Below are 21352 nucleotides of genomic sequence, written 5' to 3'. Positions count from 1 at the left end.
GGGGGCACATGGAGGCTCAGAGCCCACACTCTGGCTGCTACCCGTATGGCCACTAGTAGCCTTGATTATGCCGTAAGAGAGATCCAGTCCTTTGCATCCAGGGTCTTCATTAGCAGGTGAACCAGTTAAATAAACAGAAAATATTAGGTCATGAAGTTGTCAGGATGAGGAAAAGCATTGAGTTTTGGGCTGGATATAAAAGCATAGGGTCTTCAGGTTCCAAATAGTCAGGTTAGGATATTACAATGTTAGGATCTCTGCTCCTTTAAAAGTCCATCCATCTGGCCTAACAGCAATAACAATAATTAATAATAAGAATTGAAAACATATGTGTGGCACTTACTGTGAGCTATGAACTTTACATATATCAACTCACTTAGAGTTCTAAATACTTTGTATTTGTTAGTTCATGTAATCCTCATAGCAACCCTGTGAGGTAGGTACTATTATTATGTTCATTTCATAAATAAGCAAACTGAAGCAACTTGCTCCAAGTCACACAGCTCACAGGGGCAAGTCCAGGCAGCCTGGCCCTGGAGTCTATGCTATGCTGCCTCTTGAAGGCCTCTCCCCTCACCCACTTTCCTTCTCAGCTTCCCTCATCTTCTTCTGTCAGTGTGAAGCTAGGAGTGCAAGCTACATAAAAAGAACTTTGCACTTTAAAATTCCAATTCTATGTTATAATCAGAGCTGGAGAACTTCCCCCTGAGATCTGTTTAATAGCCTTAGTAGAAAATCTGCATAACCCCCAAGTTGGGAATCAGTGTTTGTGTCTGGTTTAATGCTGATAAAACAAACAATGGATCAGCTCAGCTGACTGCCTAGCACAGTGTCCCCATTCTCCTGAAGCCTTCCTAGCATGGCTTCAAGGAAACTAAAAGGGGGATCACACACAAGAAGGAGCCCACTATCTTAAATGGCTATGGAGTCAGATCAGAGAGAGGGCTATTGAACTGATTTCTGCCTTTTCCAGGCCATAACTACTGCTCAGTGAACAATGGCGGCTGCACCCACCTATGCTTGGCCACCCCAGGGAGCAGGACCTGCCGTTGCCCTGACAACACCTTGGGAGTTGACTGTATCGAACAGAAATGAAGACAAGAGTGCCTTATTTCCTTTCCAAGTATTTCACAGCAACACTCTACTTGAAGCAACTTGGTCCAGATTGAAAAGTGTCCTCTGGCTGAGTGGCCACTAGGCCCAGACCCAGCCCAGCCTGAGCCCCAACAACTTTTCCCTCACTGTTCCCCAAAACATGCACCCTGGACTTCTCTAATAGAAAAGTCTCCACCCCTACACAAGGACAGAACCCTCCACCCCTACCCCCAACCCTCAGACAGACTTATACACCCCTGAGTGAGGATTACATGCCCATCCCAGTGTCCTAGGACCTTTTCCCAATACTAGCCCCCCAGTGGTGAACAGAACCTCCCAAATTTGAGTTGCACCCTTCCCTGTGGCCTTATGAGCTCAGCCTCGCTTTGAGGTACCCACCGTCCTGTCAGCTCCTTGACCTATGAGCCGGGGCCTGACTAGGAAAAGTTGGGAGTTAAGGAGGAAATTAGCATTCCTTAATGTTTTGTTTTGGTGCTCTGAATTTCTTCTTTATTATAGTCCTATAGTTTTACTCCTCAGTTCCTCACCATCATCATCTTGTCTAAGACCCCCATTATAATATTCATGCGCTGCTTTTTCATCAAAACCTACCCTGTCCTAGAGATCTATGGGCATTTGGTGGATGATAATGAGCAGCCCCTCCCAGATAGAATGTCAATATTTGAGCAGTAGGATATTGGCATTTGTTAGTTAAAGGCTTAAATCAAAAGAATGTCCAATGGTAGGAATTTCAAGGTGTAGGTCAGATATTTGAGAATAGGGGATTTTTTTGATGTGCCTTAAATTATACCAAAGATTACTAATTATTCCTCTTTGCCCAAAATACTTGCATCCAAGGTTCTAGTCTCTGTTGCTGTGCTGGTCTTTAGCCCCACTGCTTGCACTGATGTCCCTCCTTTTCACGGAGACCTATCTGAGGTACAGGATGGGGCTGGCACCAGATGATGTCCCACCACAGTCCCTCACCTCCGGCCTCCACATGACAGAACCAATTTACACTCAACCATGACCTCACCCCTCCTTGGTTTCTCCCTCGATCTGTGGCCCTTTTTGGATGTATTCTTATCTAACAACACAATCCGGAAAGACTGAATTGAATATTTATACTAATGGTTCATATCCTTTATTGCTCAATGATCTAATTAAAGGGATCATTGCCACATTTCATGTTTATATTTCTACAATTTGTTTAGAAAACATCTCCTGACCATATCAGTAGCTCGTGTTATCTTTTTATCAACTGCTTCCCAGAGTCCTAAAACAATAGAAATTTTGGATTGAAAAGTTCAGCATAAGGAGTTTGAGTCAGTAAAGGATGGGATAAAGGAGTCGAGATGATTCAATGAAAAGTATCACAAAAAAGAGATTGATCAACAAGAGAAATAAAAAAGCCCAAGAGGAAGTGGTAGGGGAAGGAATTTAAGAACAGCAATAAGTAAAACTCTTAAGTAACTCCAAAAAGAAAATGGTACATTTTGCCAAAGACCACTTATACTTGAGAACATGGAAGAATTTGCCTGATACTCTCTTTGGGGAAAAGAGTCTCTCCTCTTTTCCTCAAACCCCAGTACACTCAGCCTCTCTGCCCCACCTTCTCCTGACTTTGTCCTCACTTGCTTCTGCAGTACATTGGAACCTGAATTGAAAGAAAGTCTTCCTTGAATAATTGGAGTTTGTCTTGAGAGGCAAATATAGCCCCAAGAATCACAAGATTCGAGGACCATGTAGGTCTTTTACGTAGCCCAAATCCATAAATTAGTCTCACTTTTTGTATTTATCGTTTCATATTAAACCCTCTATATCAAATGTTCATCATGATTTTGTATGATTTTTATAACTATTTTATTCATTTTATTAGATTTATTCTAAAATTTTTTAATGGTAAATTCTTAAACTGTGGAAACCACTGAAGGTGCTTATTAACTGTTCTCCCAGATTTGTACAAGTATTGGATGATTCCTTGAGTTTACAGCTGTACAAATAGTGTGGAAAATAAACTTTTTTTAAAAAAGAAAATCTTCCTCTATCTTTTCTGAATGAAGAGATTTAATGTTGGGAGGCTGATTCATGATAGACAGACAGACAGCCACTTAATAATCTGCAAAACCTGTGGAGCCCAGAAACTCTTATCCCAGTATTATGAGAGCTAGTATGTTTCTCAACCACAAAAAACCTTAGGGGTTGTAATTTACCTAAAAATGAGTGCAGTGTCTCACACCTGTAATCCCAACACTTTAGGAGGCCAAGGTGGGTGGATCACTTGAGGCCAGGAGTTTGAGACCAGTTTGGGCAATACAGGGAGACTCCATCTCTGCAAAACATCAAAAAAAAAAATTAGCTGGGCATGGTGGCACACACCTGTAGTCCCAACTACTCAGGAGGCTGAGGTGGGAGGATTGTTTGAATCCGGGAGGCCAAGGCTGCAGTGAGCTATGATCGTGCCACTGCACTCCAACCTGGGCAACAGAGTGAGACCCTATCTCAAAAACTTAAAAAAAAAATAAAAAATAAATTATATTATAGATTTCAAGCCACCCTTTTGGATATTGTTTTCATTGAGAAAATATATTCTACAAGCAGGCAATAGAAAAAGTTTTCTGATTCAGCTCTGGAGATAAGCTATGTTTTAATTCTCTTTTTACCTCCAGAAGGAAGAAAGATGCTTTCCTGGCACTGGCTATGGAGTGAGACCCCTGGTCTGTTCTAAGCTGCCACCAACAGGCAGTGCCACTCATGCTGGCCCCTGGGTGGGATGAGAATGGCCTCTGAGTTGAACAGAGTGAAGGGGGCTCAGAAGTTGCAGGAATGAGGTGTCCAGAGCTCAGTTGTTGCAGAGAAGGGAATTGGCACCATCAGTGGAGCCAGTATACAGCCTGCCAGTGTGAATTTCTTGAAAGAGACAACTTACATATGTTAGGGCTAAAACTTCCAGTGTTTTATGCTGGCCATAAAATCTGGTTACTCAAAGACGATATCAAGCTCCATGGTGGAGATAAGAAGCTCCTGGAATCTATCCCTCCATTAAAACAATTGAACTGGCAAGAGCTGTCTGATGCAACTATTTTGGAATTCAGGATCTTAGGGAACACTTGCAGCACCCAGGAGAAAGCTTGATGAGGAGGCTGGCAAGTTTTGGTCAATTTCAGCTCTTTACTTAGTGGTGACTACCACCCACCTTGATCAGCCCCAGGGCAGTCAGTTGTGGGGACAGCAGCTCAGGTACTTAGTGTGGCTTGCTGGAGCCAGGTTGGACAATAAAGACCCAGTTTTCCAAAAACCAAGGTTGTGGGTTCTGATTACTGATTGCTGCTTTTGATCCTTGAGGGGCTAGCATATAGGGAAAAATTTTCATGATACTGGGTTTGTCAAACATTTCTTGGACATATCAAAAGCACCAGCAACGAAAGAAAAAAACAGGTAAGCTGGACTTCATCAAAATTAACATTTTTGCATCAAAGGATACTATCAAGAGAGTAAAAAGACAACCCATGGAATGGGAGAAAATATTTGCAAACTCTATATGTGATAAGGAATTAATATTCAGAATATAACTACATTTCAACAACAAAAGCAAACAATTTAAAAATGAGTAAAGGATTTGAATAAACATTTATATGAAGAAGATATACAAATGGCCAATAAGCATATGAAAAGATGCTCAATATCATTAGTCATTAGGTAAATGCAAATAAAAACCACAATTTGACACCAGTTTACAGTATTAAGATGGCTTTTATCAAAACAAAACAAAACAAAACAAGTACTGGAGAGCATCTGGAAACGTTGTCCGTTGCTGATGGGAATGAAAACAGACAGCTTGGTGGTTCCTCAAAAAGTTGAATATAGAATTACTATATGATCCAGCAGTTCCACTCCTAGGACTATACCCAAAATAATAGAAAACAAGGGCTGGAACAGATGCTTCTGTGTTACTGTCCATTGCAATATCATTCACTGTAGCCAAAAGATGGAAACAACCCAAGTGTCCATCAACAGATGAATGGATAAACAAAATACGTTATGTACATAAAATGGAATATCACTGAGCCTAACAAATGAAATCCTGATACATGCTACAACACAGATGAACCGTCAGGACATTATGCTGTGGGAAATAAGCCAGACACAAACTATCAAGCAATATATGCGCTTCCATTTATATGAGGTATCTAGAATGTACCAATTCATGGAGACTGAAAGTAGATCAAAGGTTACCGGGGGCTGTGGGGAGGTGGAATGGAGAGTTATTGCTCGATGGCTACAGAATTCTTACCTGGGAAAATGAAAAGTATTGGAAATAGTGGTGATGGTTGCACAATATTGCGAATGTAATAAATGTCAGTGACTTGTACACTTAAGAATTATTAATGGCTGGGCACGGTGGCTCACGCCTGTAATCCCAGCACTTTGGGAGGCCAAGACGGGCGGATCACAAGGTCAGGAGATCAAGACCATCCTCGCCAACATGGTGAAACCCCGTCTCTACTAAAATGTAAAAAATTAGCCGGGTGCGGTGGTGCGCACCTGTAGTCCCAGCTACTCAGGAGGCTGAGGTAGAGGAATCGCTTGAACCCGGGAGGCGGAGGTTGCAGTGAGCTGAGATCGTGCCATTGCACTCCAGCCTGGCAACAGAGCAAGATTCTGTCTCAAAAAAAAAAATTATTAACATGGCAAATTTCATGATATATACATATTTTACAATTTTTAAAATTAATAATGTAATATACCCAAAACCATTGCAGGTACACTTTGGGTGAATTACATAGCATGTGAATTATATCTCAATAAAGCTGTTTTGGGTGGGCACAGTGGCTCACATCTGTAATCTCAGCACTTTAGGAGGCTGAGGCAGGAGGACAACTTGAGGCCAGTAATTTGAGACCAGCCTGGGCAATATAGTGAGACCCCCATCTCTACAAAATCTTTTAAAAATTAGCCGGGTGTAGTGGCAAGTGCCTGTAGTCCTAGCTACTCAGGAGGCTGAGGCAGGAGGATTGCTTGAGCCCGGGAGTTTGAGGTTACAGTGAGCTATGATCATGCCGCTGCACTCCAGCCTGGGCCACAGAGCAAGACCCTGTCAAATAAATAAATAAGCTGTTTTTTAAAAATCACTGTAATTAAAAACAAAAACTCCTGGATACCTAAGGTTGGCAAAATGCTGATCGTTGTTGTGGCTGGCCGAATTCTAAAGATTTCAAGATTCTAATTTTGTACTGCTCTGAAGGGACTTTGCAGATGGAATTTAGATGACTAAGTAGCTGACGTTAAAACAGGCAAATTATCCTGGGTTATCCAGGCAGGCCCTTAAAAACAGAGGAGGGAGGCAGAAGAGTCAGAGAGATAAGGCAGAAACAGAAAGCGGGAGAGGAGAGGGTGAAGGGGGAGAGGGACTATTTACACTTCCCTTTAGGTTACAGGCACAGAGAAACCTTTAGGCTGAACTTAAAATATGTGAGTAGCTTTAAGCTAAACTTGATTTAACAGGGAAAAACAGGACTTTGCAAAAATTCTTTTAGGGAGTGTACTATCGAGCACATTTGAAGACCACAGGTCTCGAAAGCGGGGAAGACGGGACCCAGAGTCCCCCGCAGCAGCGTCACGGCCCAGCTCTGGTTCTCAAGTTGGGCTGCTGTTTTTCCCCTTTTTCTCATCCGCCAGGATGCCAGGCGCTGCTGAAAGCTGCAGCCGAAAGGATTTAGAATTCCTTACAACGGAGAAAGGGTCTTTGCTCAGACAACATGGACTTAAGAGACGGAAGGGCCAAAAAGGCTTGAAAACAGGCTCGAAGAGCGGCTTCCTGGTAGCTAGAAGCTTAAGTGGGGACAGATGAGCTTAACTGGCAAGCCTGCGTGTGTGCTCTCCAGCCCCCGTGATTCAGTTTAAATCTGGGCGGGTCTCCTCAAAGACAGTTCCAGAAGGGGCCACGTGAGGGCAGTAAGAGCCTCTCAATGCCTGTTTTTGGGGGAAGAGAGAAGTGAGGGCGGAGCGCGGGGAGCGTCCCAGGCCTGGCTACCCGGATAACTTCCCCAAAAGAAGCTATGCTCGGGCCTTCCCATCGTCCCACTCAAGAGCTTTCTTCATATTGGTGAGTTGCCCAACTGCTAGCAAAAGAACTTCCCAATTATGGTCAAGCCTCTTCATCTAAATTCAGATTTCCACCAAATAGCCCAGCCCTTTTCCTCCCCAAGTCATCTCCTTACTCAAACATTTGCAGACATTCGTCACACGAGATCCCCAGCCGTGGGCTCAGCATCTTACACCGAGGTACGAAAACACAGAAGTATTCCTGAGTGTATTCTGTGTATGCAAAAGTGCATACGTCTCCTTATGGACCAGGTTCTGAGTGAATCTAAGTGGAAAACACGGAATAGCAGGCTAATTCCAGAAAATGCAGGGCTTTTGCAAATAAGTGGGCGTCTAGTCACTAAGCAGGTAGTAATAACAGGTGATGCTAAATGATTGCTTCGAACCACTTTGTTAAGGGGATCAGAGAAGGGAGAAGGCTCAGGAGAGAGAGTGCAGCAAGAAGCTTTTATTAGCTGGATGGAAATGGGAAAACTAACTCAGGATAACCTTATGTAGTAGAATTTATTGTGCCCATTGAGTAAGTCAGGAAACTGAGGGTTAAGGAGGTGAAGTAACTTGGCAAAGGTCACGCCGTCAGAGCAGAGTCCAGTTCCAGATTTGGTTTACTCTAAATACCCTTCCTCACCCCCCTTTTTAAGAAATACCTTAAATGAAAATTTATTTTTACTTTATCTTACATTATTATTTATTTGTATTCAGCACATTTTCATTTAGAAAGTTGGAAAATAAAGGCACAAGAAAAACAAATAACAGTAATTTCATTACTCAATAATGGCCTCATCACTACAATCTTGTCCAGAAATGTTGTAAACACACACACACAATACTTTTACATATATTTTTGTAAGATATATATATAACAAAAAATGTGATCCTGTGATACTTTTCCGTATTTTTGTTTTCCATTTAAATAAATGTGCATATGAACATTACTTTGATCAACTACATAATAGTATCATACTCTATTATATGGACAATAAACTCTCACCAGTTCATTTATTGATGAACTTTTAGGGTGTTTCTATGTGTTTTTTGATGTGATAAATAACAATAAACCAATAAACACCCACATACTAATATCAGTGTCCTTTTTTTTTTTTTTTTTTTTTTTTTGAGAGTCACGCTCTGTTGCCCAGGCTGGAGTGCAGTGGTGCAATCTCAGCTCACTGCAACCTCCGCCTCCCGGGTTCAACAATTCTCCTGCCTCAGCCTCCCGAGCAGCTGCGACCACAGGCATGTGCCACCATGCCCAGCTAATTTTTTATATTTGTAGTAGGGATGTGGTTTCACCATGTTATCCAGGATGGTCTCAATCTCCTGACCTCATGATTCACCCGCCTCGGCCTCCCAAAGTGCTGGGATTACAGGCATGAGCCACCACGCCCGACCCTCAGTGTCCTTATTAATATCTTTAGGATAAATTTCAACTCAGGATTATTTAAAAATTTAAGACTTTCAATAGATACTCCCCAACTGCCTTACAGAAAGTTTGTACCACTTTATACTTCCACCAGCGGGAGTGTTGGAGAGGGCCCGTTTACCTATGTTTTTGCCTTTGCATAGTTTATTTTTTCATTTTTGCCAATTACATAGGTGGTGTTTGTTTATTAAAATTTACATTATTGGCTGGTTGCAGTGACTCACGCCTGTAATCCCAGCACTTTGGGAGGCCAACATGGGAGGACTGCTTGAAGCTAGGAGTTTGAGGCCCATCCTGGGCAACATACTGAGGCTCAGTCTCTAAAAAGAAAAAAAATTACACTCTTTAAGTTGCGGTAAACTTTTGAAATGCACACTAGCCACTTAAAGTTCTTTTGTCAATTGTCCTTCTAGTCCTCAGTTCTTTTTTCTAATTGGGAGAATCTCACTGATTTATAAGTGTCCTTTACATTTTAAAGCTAATTAACCTTTTGTTGTCTATTTTGCAAATAATATTCCCCAAGGGTTTGTTGTTGTTGTTGTTGTTTGTTTGTTTGTTTGTTTTTTTGAGACAGGGTTTTGCTCTGTTGCCCAGGCTGGAGTGCAATGGCGTGATCTTGGCTCACTGCAATCTTGGCTCACTGCAACCTCTGTCTCCTGGGTTCAAGCTATTCTCCTGCCTCAGCCTCTCCAGCAGCTGGGATTACAGGCATGTGCCACCACACCTGGCTAAGTTTTGTATTTTTAGTAGAGATGGGGTTTCACCATGTTGGCCAGGCTGGTCTTGAACTCCTGACCTCATGATCTGCCAGCCTCAACCTCTCAAAAAGTGCTGGTTACAGGCGTGAGCCACTGCGCCCAGCTTTTTTGTTGGTTTTTTGTTCTGGGGGATTTGGGGACATACGGAAGGTTTTAATCTACATGTAGTCAATTCCTGCTCAGTACGAATTAGAACAAAAGTACCAGCCAAGAAGTCATGAGGCGGAAAATGTCCAGGCTGCACCCTGTGGCATATGGTATTTTCCAAAATGGCCTGAACACAATCTCCCACCCCACATATTCTTACAATGGTGTGTCGATGTGATATTGACATTCCTCTCACCAAGAACTAGGGCCTATGTCCCTCTCCTTGAATCTGGATGGGCCTATGACTATAGCAGAGGGGATGACATGTGGGTTCTGAGGCTGGGTCATACAAGGTGAAACAGCTTCCGTCCAGTCTTCTTGGGATTCTCTCTCTCCGGTTCTGTGATAGGAGGAAGCTCAGGCCACATGAAGAGGCCATGTGCCTGGGGTGGCAGCTCCAACTGTAGCCTCAGCCTACAGCAGACATCAATCACTAGACATGCAAACAAAGAGACCGCCCCCGTGACTCCAGCCCAAGCCACTGTCTGACCGCAGTCTCACAAGAATGGTCCAGGAGACCCCAGTCAATTTCAGACCATGAGAGAGAAAACAGGCTGAGCAGCCCTAATCCAAAATTTATAAAATCTGAAATACTCCAAAGTTCAAAACTCTTCGAGTGCCGATATGATGCTCAAAGGTCATGCTCAAAGGAAATGAATATTGGCACATTTTGGATTTCTCATTTTTGGATCAGGGATGCTCAACTGGTGAGTATAACGCAAATATTCCAATATTTAAAAAAAAATCCAAAATCCAAAACATTTCTGTTCCCAAGCATTTTGGGTGTTTTTTTCCATAGGTAATTGGGGAACAGGTGGTATTTGGTTACATGAATAAGTTCCTTAGTGGTGATTTGTGGGATTTTGGTGCACTCATCACCCAAGCAGTATACACTGCACCATATTTGTAGTCTTTTATCCCTCACCCCCCTCCCACCCTTCCGCCCAATCCCCAAACCCATTGCATCATTATTATGCCTTTGCATCCTCATAGCTTAGCTCCTAGATATCAGTAAGAATATACGATGTTTGGTTTTCCATTCCTGGGTTACTTCACTTAGAGTAATAGTCTCCAATCTCATCCAGATCACTGTGAATGCCATTAATTCATTCCTTTTTTTGGCTGAGTAGTATTCCATCAGATAGATAGATAGATAGATAGATAGATAGATAGATAGATAGATAGATAGATGATAGATATCTAGATGAGGATGCCCACCAGATATCTATCTATCATCTATCTATCTATCTTCTATCTCACAGTATCTCTATCCACTTGTTGATTGGTGGGTATTTGGGTTGGTTCCACAATTTTGCAATTGTGAATTGTGCTGCTATAAACATGCATGTGCAAGTATCTTTTCTGTATAATGACTTTTCCTCAGGGTAGATATCCAGTAGTAGGATTGCTGGATCCAATGGTAGTTCTACTTTTAGTTATTTAAGGAATCTCCACACGGTTTTCCATAGAGGCCATACTAGTTTACATTCCCACCAGCAGTGTAGAACTGTTCCCTGATCACCTCATCCACACCAACATCTACTGTTTTTTAATTTTTTTTTTTTTTTTTTTTGAGATGAAGTCTTGCTCTGTCACTCAGGCTGGAGTGTGATGGCGCGATCTCGGCTCACTGCAACCTCTGCCTCCTGGGTTCAAGCAATTCTCTGCCTCAGCCTCCCAAGTAGCTGGGATTACAGGCACCCACCACCAGGCCTGGCTAAATTTTTTTGTATTTTTAGTTGAGACGGGATTTCACCATCTTGGCCAGGCTGGTCTTGAACTCCTGACCTCGTGATCCACCCGCCTCGGCCACTCAAAGTGCTGGGATTACAGGCGTGAGCCACCGCGCCCGGCCGTTTTTTGATTTTTTTATTATGGCCATTCTTGCAGGAGTTAGGTGGTATCACATTGTGGTTTTCATTTGCATTTCCCTGATCATTAGTGATGTTGAGTATTTTTTCATAAGTTTTTTGGCTATTTGTATATCTTCTTCTGAGAATTGTCTATTGTCCTTAGCCCACTTTTTGATGGGATTGTTTGTTTATTTCTTGCTGATATTGTTTGAGTTCATTGTAGATTCTGGATATTGGTCCTTTGTCAGATGTCTAGACTGTGAAGATTTTCTCCCACTCTGTGGATTGTCTGTTTACTCTGCTGACTGTTCCTTTTGCCGTGCAAAGCTCTTTAGTTTAATTAAGTCCCAGCTATTTATCTTTGTTTCTATTGCATTTGCTTTTGGGTTCTTGGTCATGAAATCCTTGCCTAAGCCAATGTCTAGAAGGGTTTTTTCAATGTTATCTTCTAGAATTTGTAAGGTTTCAGGTCTTAGATTTAAGTCCTTAGTCCATCTTGAGTAGATTTTTGTGTAAGCTGAGAGATGAGGATCCAGTTTCATTTGCCTACAGGTGGCTACACAATTATCCCAGCACCAGTTGTTGAAAAGGGTGTCCTTTCCCCACTTTATGATTTTGTTTGCTTTTTTGAAGATCAGTTGGCTGTAAGTATTTGGGTTTATTTCTGGGTTCTCTATTCTGTTCCATTGGTCTATGTGCCTATTTTCATACCAGCACCATGCTGTTTTGGTGACTACGGACATGTAATTTGAAATCGGGTAGTGTGATGCCTCCAGATTTGTTCTTTTTGCTTAGTCTTGCTTGGCTATGTGGGCTCTTTTTTGGTTCCATATGAATTTTAGGATTGTTTTTTCTAATTCTGTGAAGAATGACGGTGGTATTTTGATGGGGATTGCATTGAATTTATAAATTGCTTTTGGTAGTGTGGTCATTTTCACAATATTGATTCTACCCATCTAGGACCATGGGATGTGTTTCCATTTGTTTGTGCCATCTATGATTTCTTTCAGCAGTGTTTTGTAGTTTTCCTTGTAGAGGTCTTTCACCTCCGTGGTTAGGTATATTCCTAAGTATTGTAATTTTTTTGCAGCTATTGTAAAAGAGGTTAGGTTTTTTTAATTTGATTCTCCGGTTGGTCATTGTTGGTGTTAGAAAAGCTACTGATTTTTGTACATTAATCTTGTATCCGGAAACTTTGCTGAATTCTCTTATCAGTTGTAAGAGGTTTCTGGAGGAGTCTTTAGGGTTTTCTAGGTAAACGATCATATCGGCAGCAAACAGTGAAAGTTTGACTTCCTCTTTACTGATTTGGATGCCCTTTATTTCTTCCTCTTGTCTGATTGCTCTGGCTAGGACTTCCAGTACTATGTTGAAGGGGAGTGGTGAGAGTGGGCATCCTTGTCTTGTTTTAATTCTCAGAGGGAATCCTTTCAACTTTTCCCCATTCAGTATTATGTTGGCTGTAGGTTTGTCATAGACGGCTTTTATTACATTAAGGTATGTCCCTTGTATGCCAATTTTGCTGAGAATTTTAATCATAAAGGATGCTGGATTTTGTTAAATGCTTTTTCTGCATCTATTGAGATGATCATGTGATTTTTGTTTTTAATCCTATTTTATGTGGTGTATCACATTTATTGGCTTACATATGTTAAACCATCCCTGCATCCCTGGTATGAAACCCACTTGATCATGGTGGATTATCTTTTTGATATGTTGTTGGATTTGGTTAGCTAGTATTTTGTTAAGGATTTTAGCTTCTGTGTTCGTCAAGGATATCGGTCTGTAGTTTTCTTTTTTGGTTACGTCCTTTCCTGGTTTTGGTATTAGGGTGATGCTGGCTTCATATAATGAGTTAGGGAGGGTTCCCTCTTTCTCTATCTTGTGGAATTGTGTCAAAAGGATTGATTGGTACCAATTCTTCTTTGAATGTCTGGTAGAATTCTGCTGGGAATCCATCTGACCCTGGACTTTTTTTTTGTTGGTAATTTTTAAATTACCATTTCAATCTCACTGCTTGTTAGTGGTCTATTCAGGGTATCTAATTCTTCCTGATTTAAGCTAGGAGGGTTGTATTTTTCCAGGAATGTATCTGTCTCTTCTAGACTTTCTAGTTTATGTCTGTAAATGTATTCACAGTAGCCTTGAATGATCTTTTGTATTTCAGTGGTGTCAGTTGTAATACCTACTGTTTCATTTCTTAATGAGGTTATTTGGAGTTTCTCTCTTCTTTTCTTGGTTAATCTTGCTAAGGGTCTATCAATTTTATTTATCTTTTCAATGAACCAGCTTTTTGTTACATGTATCATTTGACTGTTTTGAATTTCAATTTGATTTAGTTCTGCTCTGATCTTGGTTATTTCCTTTCTTCTGCTGGATTTGGGTTTGCTTTGTTCTTGTTTCTCTAGTTCCTTGAGGTGTGACCTTAGAATGTCAGTTTGTGCTCTTTCAGTCTTTTTGATGTAGGCATTTAGGGCTATGAACTTTCCTCTTAAGACCGCCTTTGCTGTATCCCAGAGGTTTTGATTGGTTGTGTCATTATTGTCGTTCAGTTCGAAGAATTTTTAAATTTTCATCTTGATTTTGTTTTTGCCCCAATGATCATTCAGGAGCAGGTTATTTAATTTCCATGTATTTGCATGGTTTTGAAGGTTCCTTTTGGAGTTGATTTCCAGTTTTATTCCACTGTGGTCTGATAGAGCGCTTGATATAATTTCAGTTTTCTTAAATTTATTGAGGCTCTTTGCTGCCTATCATATGATCTATCTTGGAGAAAGTTCCATGTGCTTTTAATAGAATGTGTATTCTGTAGTTGTTGTATGAAATGTTCTATATATATCGGTTGAGTCCATTTGTTCCAAGGTATAGTTTAAATCCATTGTTTCTTTGTTAACTTTCTGTCTTGACCTGTCTGATGCTGTCAGTGGAGTATTGAAGTCCCCCATTATTATTATGTTGCTGTTTGTCTCATTTCTTAGGTCTATTAGTAATTGTTTTATAAATTTGGGAGCTCCAGTGTTAGGTGCATATATGTTTAGGATTGTGATATTTTCCTATTGGACAAGGCCTTTTATCAGTATATAATGTTCCTGTTTGTCTCTTTTAACTGCTGTTGCTTTAAAGTTTGTTTTGTCTGATATAAGAATAGCTACCTCTGCTCGTTTTTGTTGTCTTATTTGCAAAAACTGCCTTTTTTTTTTTTTTTTTTTTTTGAGACAAAGTCTCTCTCTGTTGCCCAGGTGGAGTGCAGTGGTGCAACCTTGGTTCACTGCAACCTCTGCCTGCCGGGTTCAAGCAATTCTCCTGCCTCAGGCTCCTGAGTAGCTGCGACTACAGGCACGTGCCACCATGCCAAGCTAATTTTTTGTATTTTTAGTAGAGACGGGGTTTCACCATGCTGGCCAGGTTGGTCTTGAACTCCTGACCTCATGATCCGCCCACCTCGGCCTCCCAAAGTGCTGGGTGGCATGAGCCACCAAGCCTGGCTGAAATGCCTTTTTCCACCCCTGTAAGTTTATGTGAGATGTGAGTCCTTACGTATTAGGTGAATCTCCTGAAGGCAGGCAGACGGTTGGTGAGTTCTTGTCCATTCTGTGGTTCTGTATCTTTTAGGTGGAGCACTTAGGCCATTTACATCCACGTAACTATTGAGGTGTGAGGTACCATTGCATTCATCATGCTCTTTGTTGCCTGTGTACTTAGGTTTTTTTTGGTTTTGGCTTTTGCTTTTTAACTTGCATGTTTGTTTTATAGGCCCTGTGTGATTTATGCTTTAAAGAGGTTCTGTTTTGATGTGTTTCCAGGATTTGTTACAAGATTTAGAGCTCCTTTCAGCAGTTCTTCTAGTGGTGGCTTGGTGATGGTGAATTCTCTCAGCATTGTTTGTCTAAAAACGACTGTATCTTTCCTTCATATATGATGCTTTGTGTCACTGGATACGAAATTCTTGGCTGATAACTGTTTTGTTTGAGGAGGCTGAAGATAGGGCCCCAATCCCTTCTAGCTTGTAGGGTTCCTGCTGAGAAATCTGCTGTTAATCTGATAGGTTTTCTTTTATAGGTTACCTGGTACTTCTGTCTCACAGCTCTTAAGATTCTTTCCTTCATCTTAACTTTGGATAACCTGATGACAATGTGCCTAGGCGAAGATCTTTTTGAGATGAATTTCCTAGGTGCTCTTTGTGCTTCTTGTATTTGGATGTCTACGTCTCTAGCAAGGCCGGGGAAGTTTTCCTTGATTATTCCCTGAAATATGTTTTCCAAAATTTTAGATTTCTCTTCTTCCTCAGGAACACTGATTATTCTTAGGTTTAGTCATTTAACATAATCCCCAACTTCTTCGAGGGTTTGCTCATATTTTCTTTTTCTTTTTTTCTTTATCTTTGTTGGATTGGGTTAATTCAAAGACCTTGTCTTTGAGCTCTGAATTTCTTTCTTCTATTTGCTCAATTCTACTGCTGAGACTTTCCAGAGCATTTTGCGTTCTGTAAGCGTGTCCAATGTTTCCTGAAGTTTTGATTGTTTTTTCTTTTTGCTATCTATTTCCTTGAATATTTCTCCCTTCACTTCTTGTATCATTTTTTTTGGATTTCCTTGCATTGGACTTTGCCTTTCTCTGGTCCCTCCCTAATTAGCTTAGTAACTAAACACCTGAATTCTTTTTCAGGTCAATCAGGGATTTCTTCTGGATTTGGATCCATTGCTGGTGAGCTAGTGTGATTTTTGGGGGGTGTTGAAGAGCCTTGTTTTGTCATATTACCAGGGTTGGTTTTCTGTTTCCTTCTCATTTGGGTAGGCTCTGTCAGAGGGAAGGTCTAGGGCTGAAGACTGTTGTTCAGATTCTTTTGTCCCACGGGGTGTTCCCTTGATGTAGTATGCTCCTCCTTTTCCTATGGATGTGGCTTCCTGTGAGCCGAACTGCAGTGATTGTTGCCTCTCTTCTGGGTCTAGCCACCCAGCGAGTCTACCTGGCTCCAGGCTGGTACTGGGGGTTGTCTACACAGAGTCCTGTGATGTGAACCATCTATGGGTCTCTCAGCCATGGATACCAGCACAGTACTTGGGGTGACTCCCGGGTCCTGCAGGAGCAGCCCGCTTCCTTCATTGGGTCTGTGGGTCCTCTCAGGATTCCTGGTTTGTTCTTGCAGTCATTCTGGAGCTAAAATTCATGATGTGAGCCTCCACACACTGCTCTGTCCATCCGAGTCGGAGCTGCAATCTAGTCCTCTGTTCCCAAGCATTTTGGATAAGGGATACTCAACCTGTAAAAAAGTGATTGCTCTTATTTTTGGTCCTAAGTTTAGGGATGATTCATTACACAGCCATGGATAACTGGCATTTGCCAGGACAACTGATATTAAAAACCCAGAAACCAAACACTTCCTTGGCCCCTACTCTGTTTTCTTATTTGGAAAATGTGAATAGAAAATGAGGAAAAATCCCTTCCTCTGGGTAGAATGTCACAGCTTCAGCACTTGCAACTCTTGATTCCACAGGGTGGGTCTTCCATATGACCTGTGAGCAACATATGGCCTCTTCTCTCTTCAGAAACAACTTTCATCCATTCACTCAACAGGAAAAACGAGAAGAAGGACGCAAGCTGTGGCTCAGTCTCTACTCAGCCATGGAACACATTTTAGCAAGTGATCAGATTCATAACTGCCTTCTGGCCAGGCGTGGTGGCGTGTGCCTGTAATCCCAGCATTTTGGGAGGCCGAGGTGGGCGTATCACTTGAGGTCTGGAGTTCAAGAGCGGCCTGGCCAACAAGGCGAAACCCCATCTCTACTAAAAATACAAAAATTAGCCAGTGTGGTGGCAGGTGCCTGAAATCCCAGCTATTCGGGAGGCTGAGGCAGGAGAATTGCTTGAACCCTAAAGGCAGAGGTTGCAGTGAGCCAAGATCTTGCCATTGCACTCCAGCCTGAGTGACAAGAGCGAGACTCGGCCGGGCGTGCTGGCTCAGGCCTCTAATCCCAGCACTTTGGGAGGCCGAGGGGGGCAGATCACGAGGTCAAGAGATGGAGACTATCCTGGTCAATATGGTGAAACCCCATCTCTACTAAAAATACAAAAATTAGCCAGGTATGGTGGTGCATGCCTGTAGTCCCAGCTACTCAGGAGGCTGACGCAGGAGAATCGCTTGAACCCGGCAGGCAGAGGTTGCAGTGAGCCGAGATTGCGCCACTGCTCTCCAGCCTGGGGACAGAGAGAGACTCCATCTCAAAAAAAAAAAAAAAAAAAAAAAGTGAACTCAGTCCTATTGGGAAGTAGCCTAATTTGAGCAGGAAACACCTTTGTGGCATTGAGATACATGTGGAATCCTTTAGGAGAGGGAAAAGAACTATTTGTGAAATTTGAGATCAACAGTTATACTTGGTGTGTTTAGAGGTCCGATGGGGTTAAGACTTGAATAATTCATAAGCGAGAGTTGGATTGTCAGCCCTATAGCTACACCCAACTGTAGATGAGCTGCTGGGCTCATCATCTCAGATCATTGTGCTCTTTCCTGTAGCGCACCAGGCAGAGTGTGTTCCACCCTTGTGCACAAGGAGCATAGGACTTGGAGTGGGAGGAACCTGAGAGCGAGTCTGGGCCTGCCATCTGCTGGGCCAGTCCCTTTACCTCTTTGACTCTCCTTTTGCTTTTTTGTAAAATTAGAATGTTACTATTCATCTCATTTTTATTGTGGAGCTAAATGAGATCAGTGAAAGTGCATTGCATATAGCAAGAACACAGTAAGTGCTTGCTGTTTCTTACTTTTGTATAGTGCTTTAACATTCACAAAATGATCTTACCTTTATTAAGTCTATGGGGATAAATATTGCTGTTACCATTTCATGAATGATTACATGGAGACACAGGGAGGTTAAGCCACTTAAGGTCTCACAGTTGGTAAATTTCAGGTCTAGAATTCAAACTGAGCTTTCTCCAGTTGCCAAAGCCCACTCTTTCTGCATGCCATGTCTTCTTTCCTGAAAGTGCATGCATGTGTCATGCATTCATTGGACACCTGCTTTGTGCCAAATGTTGGGCTTAAAGCAGGGTGCAGAGGTTAATCGGGGGATAGGGAATGTTGTGCCTGAGCTGGGTCTTGAAGGGAAAGAGAAGTTTGCCAAGCAGATAGAAGAGTGGGCATTCCTGATAAATGAATAAATAGTGTGTGCAAAGGTCTGGAGATGCTGCCTAAACAGTCTCAGATATGGCTGTCAACAATGGGCCACTCTTTAAGGGGGAATATGGGGACGGGAAAGACAGGCTCCTTGAACTCCATTCCTGAGGAATGACCATTAATTATGGATTATATCCCTGCCTGTGCTGCAGGAAGGGAAGAGGCAGAGGGCTGTCCCATCATTTCCTCACAGAATGACTGGTACCCAGGCACAGCGCTCATCCTGTGCTCTCTAACCCGGAGAGAACACGGCTCTAACATTCTCAGCAAAGAACCAGTAGCTTCTCCTGTCTTCCTGCAATTCCAGCCTACCTTTTCTGGTGCCGAGCCCCAGATGTGTGGCCTAGCTCCTACCTGACAGCTCCAGAAAACTCAGTCACGATCATAAAACAGAAGGAACAGACAGGTTCTGAAATGTTCATCAACCTCATTAGCATCAATGAATCCAGAGACTTTTTGAACACTGAAAACAGAGACCCAAAGTTTTAAGCCCCAATTATTTTTCTTTTCTATTTTTTTTTTTTTTTTTTTTTTGGAGATGGGGTCTCACTCCGTCACCCAGGCTGGAGTGCTATGGCATGATCTCCACTCACTGTAACCCCCACCTCCCCAGCTCAAGCAATCCTCCCACCTCAGCCTCCTGAGTAGCTGGGACCACAGCTACATGGCACCATGCCCAGCTAATTTTTTTTTTTTTTTTTTGAGACCAAGTCTCGCTCTGTCACCCAGGCTGGAGTGCAGTGGCATGATCTCGGCTCACTGCAACCTCCGCCTCCTAGGTTCAAGCAATTCTCTGCCTCAGCCTCCGGAGTAGCTGGGATTACAGGCCCCCTGCCACCACACCCAGCTAATTTTTGTATTTTTAGTAGAGATGGGGTTTCATCATCTTGGCCAGGCTGGTTTTGAACTCCTGACCTCGTGATCCACCCACCTCGGCCTCCCAAAGTGCTGGGATTACAGGCGTGAGCCACCGCAACTGGCCAATTTTTGTATTTTTAGTAGAGACGGGGTTTCACCATATTGCCCAGGCTAGTCTCAAATTCCTGAGCTCAAGTGATCCGCCCACCTCGGCCTTCCAAAGTACAGGGATTACAGGCATGAGCTACTGTGTCCAGCCCCAATTCTTCTTCTTTTTTTTTTTTTTTCCCAAGACAGAGCTTTTTTCCAAGACAGAGCTACTGTGTCCAGCCCCAATTCTTTTTTTTTTTTTTTTCCTCACTCTCTTGCATAGGCTGGAGTACAGTGGCATGATCTCTGCTCACTGCAACCTCTGCCTTCCAAGTTCAAGCAATTCTCCTGCCTCGGCCTCCCGGATAGCTGGGATTACAGGCGTGCACCACCACGCCTGGCTAATTTTTATATTTTTAGTAGAGACGGGGTTTCACCATGTTGGCCAGGCCGGTTTCGAACTCCTGACCTCAGGTGATCCGCCCATCTCGGCCTCCCAAAGTGCTCGGATTACAGGCATGAGCCACTGCACCCGACCCCTGTTCTTACATGAGCTAAAAAAAAAAAAAATCTATATGCTAGAGAAGCAAGGATTCATGGAAGACAAAATAAAATGCATCAGCTTTTTTAACTCATTGAAAATCTTAGACTATGAAATCATATCACTAGGCCATGTGAGTAAAAGGGTTTATACATCATTAGGTAATCTCCTGAGGTAAAACATCCTCTCTGAGTTTCAAACACATGCACCCATCCCTGACAAGCTGTAGACAGTAATAGGTATTTCCATCTACGATAAATTGTTCCAGTTGTTTGACAAAAGTTATTTCATGAGATTGTTACAGTAGGTAGCTAGTCAGACACAAGCAGGGCAGGAGAGGGCCCCCTGCACACACCAGGAATGTCAGGCGACCATCTAGTGATGGTCAGGCAGTTGTTAACTGTCTAGAATAATAATTGGTTGTAGCAAGTGCCTGGGAAATGTTGTCTCCCAATAGACAGAAAATACCTGAAACTGGTGATGAGCAGCTTCCCGATAAGATCTCAGGAGGTGGGCGAGTAGGCTAAGCACGCACACTAAGAGGCAAACTGGTGGAGTTTAACTGGTATACGACCTTCCTCTAGTAACACTCGACTGGTAAGGAAAGAGCGCCTCAAGTGAGCTTGTGCACAATTTTGGTAAACGCACTGCACTTGAGGCCCCTCCTGAGCGCTGGCAGGCCACCGCGCATGCGGACAGCCCACCCAAGGGAAGAATCAGAGGAGAAGGACCGCAAGCCCCTGGAAGCATGCTGAAGTATTAAACCCCAAGTCAAAGGTCAAACAATGCACTTGGTCTCTCAAGCCGCCCTCTTGGCCCTCTCCCAAGTGTACTTAACTTCCTTTCACTCCTATCCTAAAACTTTTCAAGAAATTTTCACTCCAGCTCTAAACTTGCCTTGGTCTCTCCTTCTGCCTTAGGTCCCTTGGTTGAATTCTGTGTTCTGAAGAGGCAAGAATTGAGGTTGCTGCAGACCTGTATGGATTCGCCACCAGTAACAAGATCTCAGAACACTGGAAAAATCGATGCACAAAAAAAAAAGGTTAGCGCTGACTGCAACACTCTAAAATAATGACCACTGTTTAGTCGTCAGTGATATTACAGTCTAATCTCATTTATAAATACATTTTTTAAATAAACAATCTCTTGAAGGATAATGTACATTCTGAAAAGTGCACAACTCTTAAGAGTACCTACAGCTCAGGGCATTTTCCCAAAGTCAACGCCAATGTAGAGAGTCACTTTTGAGGGTAAACAAGAATTTGAGGGAGAAAGAGGTTGTTAGCAATAAAGTGACATCCAGCTCATCAGGGG

At 42.5% G+C, this 21352-nt stretch overlaps 1 protein-coding gene and 2 long non-coding RNA genes across 4 annotated transcripts in view, besides 5 other annotated features; 2 read left to right on the top strand and 1 right to left on the bottom strand.

Moving 5' to 3' along the window:
* The window catches only part of NID1 (nidogen 1), an 89261-nt gene extending 86129 nt beyond the window's left edge, over positions 1-3132 (top strand). The window contains exon 20 of the mRNA NM_002508.3: positions 974-3132. Coding sequence (NP_002499.2) covers positions 974-1095 — 122 coding nt within the window. The 3' untranslated portion in view covers positions 1096-3132. The remainder of the gene's footprint in view (positions 1-973) is intronic.
* Positions 4471-7470: a meiotic recombination region, noted in NCBI's record as "crossovers mapped in sperm cells of males of European ancestry". NCBI's record gives the evidence for it as "EXISTENCE:DNA detection assay evidence [ECO:0005519][PMID:16543360, PMID:15880103]".
* Positions 5461-6754: a meiotic recombination region, noted in NCBI's record as "meiotic double-strand break mapped by DNA meiotic recombinase 1 chromatin immunoprecipitation followed by single-stranded DNA enrichment and sequencing in the germ cells of some male individuals with the PRDM9 A/A genotype". NCBI's record gives the evidence for it as "EXISTENCE:chromatin immunoprecipitation-seq evidence [ECO:0000229][PMID:25395542]".
* Positions 6451-21352, top strand: part of LINC02768 (long intergenic non-protein coding RNA 2768) — a 61478-nt gene continuing 46576 nt past the window's right edge. Inside the window, exons 1-2 of the long non-coding RNA NR_183724.1 lie at positions 6451-7201; positions 20959-21080. This is a non-coding gene — a long non-coding RNA (long intergenic non-protein coding RNA 2768). The remainder of the gene's footprint in view (positions 7202-20958; positions 21081-21352) is intronic.
* Positions 6484-6499: a nucleotide motif, noted in NCBI's record as "nucleotide motif; similarity to the predicted 16-mer PRDM9 C-type binding motif, CCNCNNTNNNCNTNNC".
* Positions 6863-6912: an enhancer, noted in NCBI's record as "active region_2809". NCBI's record gives its function as "activates an Ori minimal core promoter by ATAC-STARR-seq in GM12878 lymphoblastoid cells {active_cell/tissue: GM12878}" and the evidence as "EXISTENCE:reporter gene assay evidence [ECO:0000049][PMID:35858748]".
* Positions 9727-9927: a silencer, noted in NCBI's record as "peak781 fragment used in MPRA reporter construct". NCBI's record gives its function as "represses an SCP1 promoter by STARR-seq MPRAs in K562 erythroleukemia cells {active_cell/tissue: K562}" and the evidence as "EXISTENCE:reporter gene assay evidence [ECO:0000049][PMID:32103011]".
* The window catches only part of LOC105373215 (uncharacterized), a 66658-nt gene continuing 65325 nt past the window's right edge, over positions 20020-21352 (bottom strand). For both annotated transcript variants that reach the window (XR_002958490.2, XR_001738539.2), the window contains exon 5: positions 20020-21051. This is a non-coding gene — a long non-coding RNA (uncharacterized LOC105373215). The remainder of the gene's footprint in view (positions 21052-21352) is intronic.

The sequence above is a fragment of the Homo sapiens genome, chromosome 1 (assembly GCF_000001405.40).
Source record: "Homo sapiens chromosome 1, GRCh38.p14 Primary Assembly".
In the NCBI taxonomy this organism is placed as follows: Eukaryota; Metazoa; Chordata; class Mammalia; order Primates; family Hominidae; genus Homo; species Homo sapiens.
The sequence above is the reverse complement of the archived record's forward strand: the minus strand, read 5'-3'. Positions and strand labels throughout refer to the sequence as shown.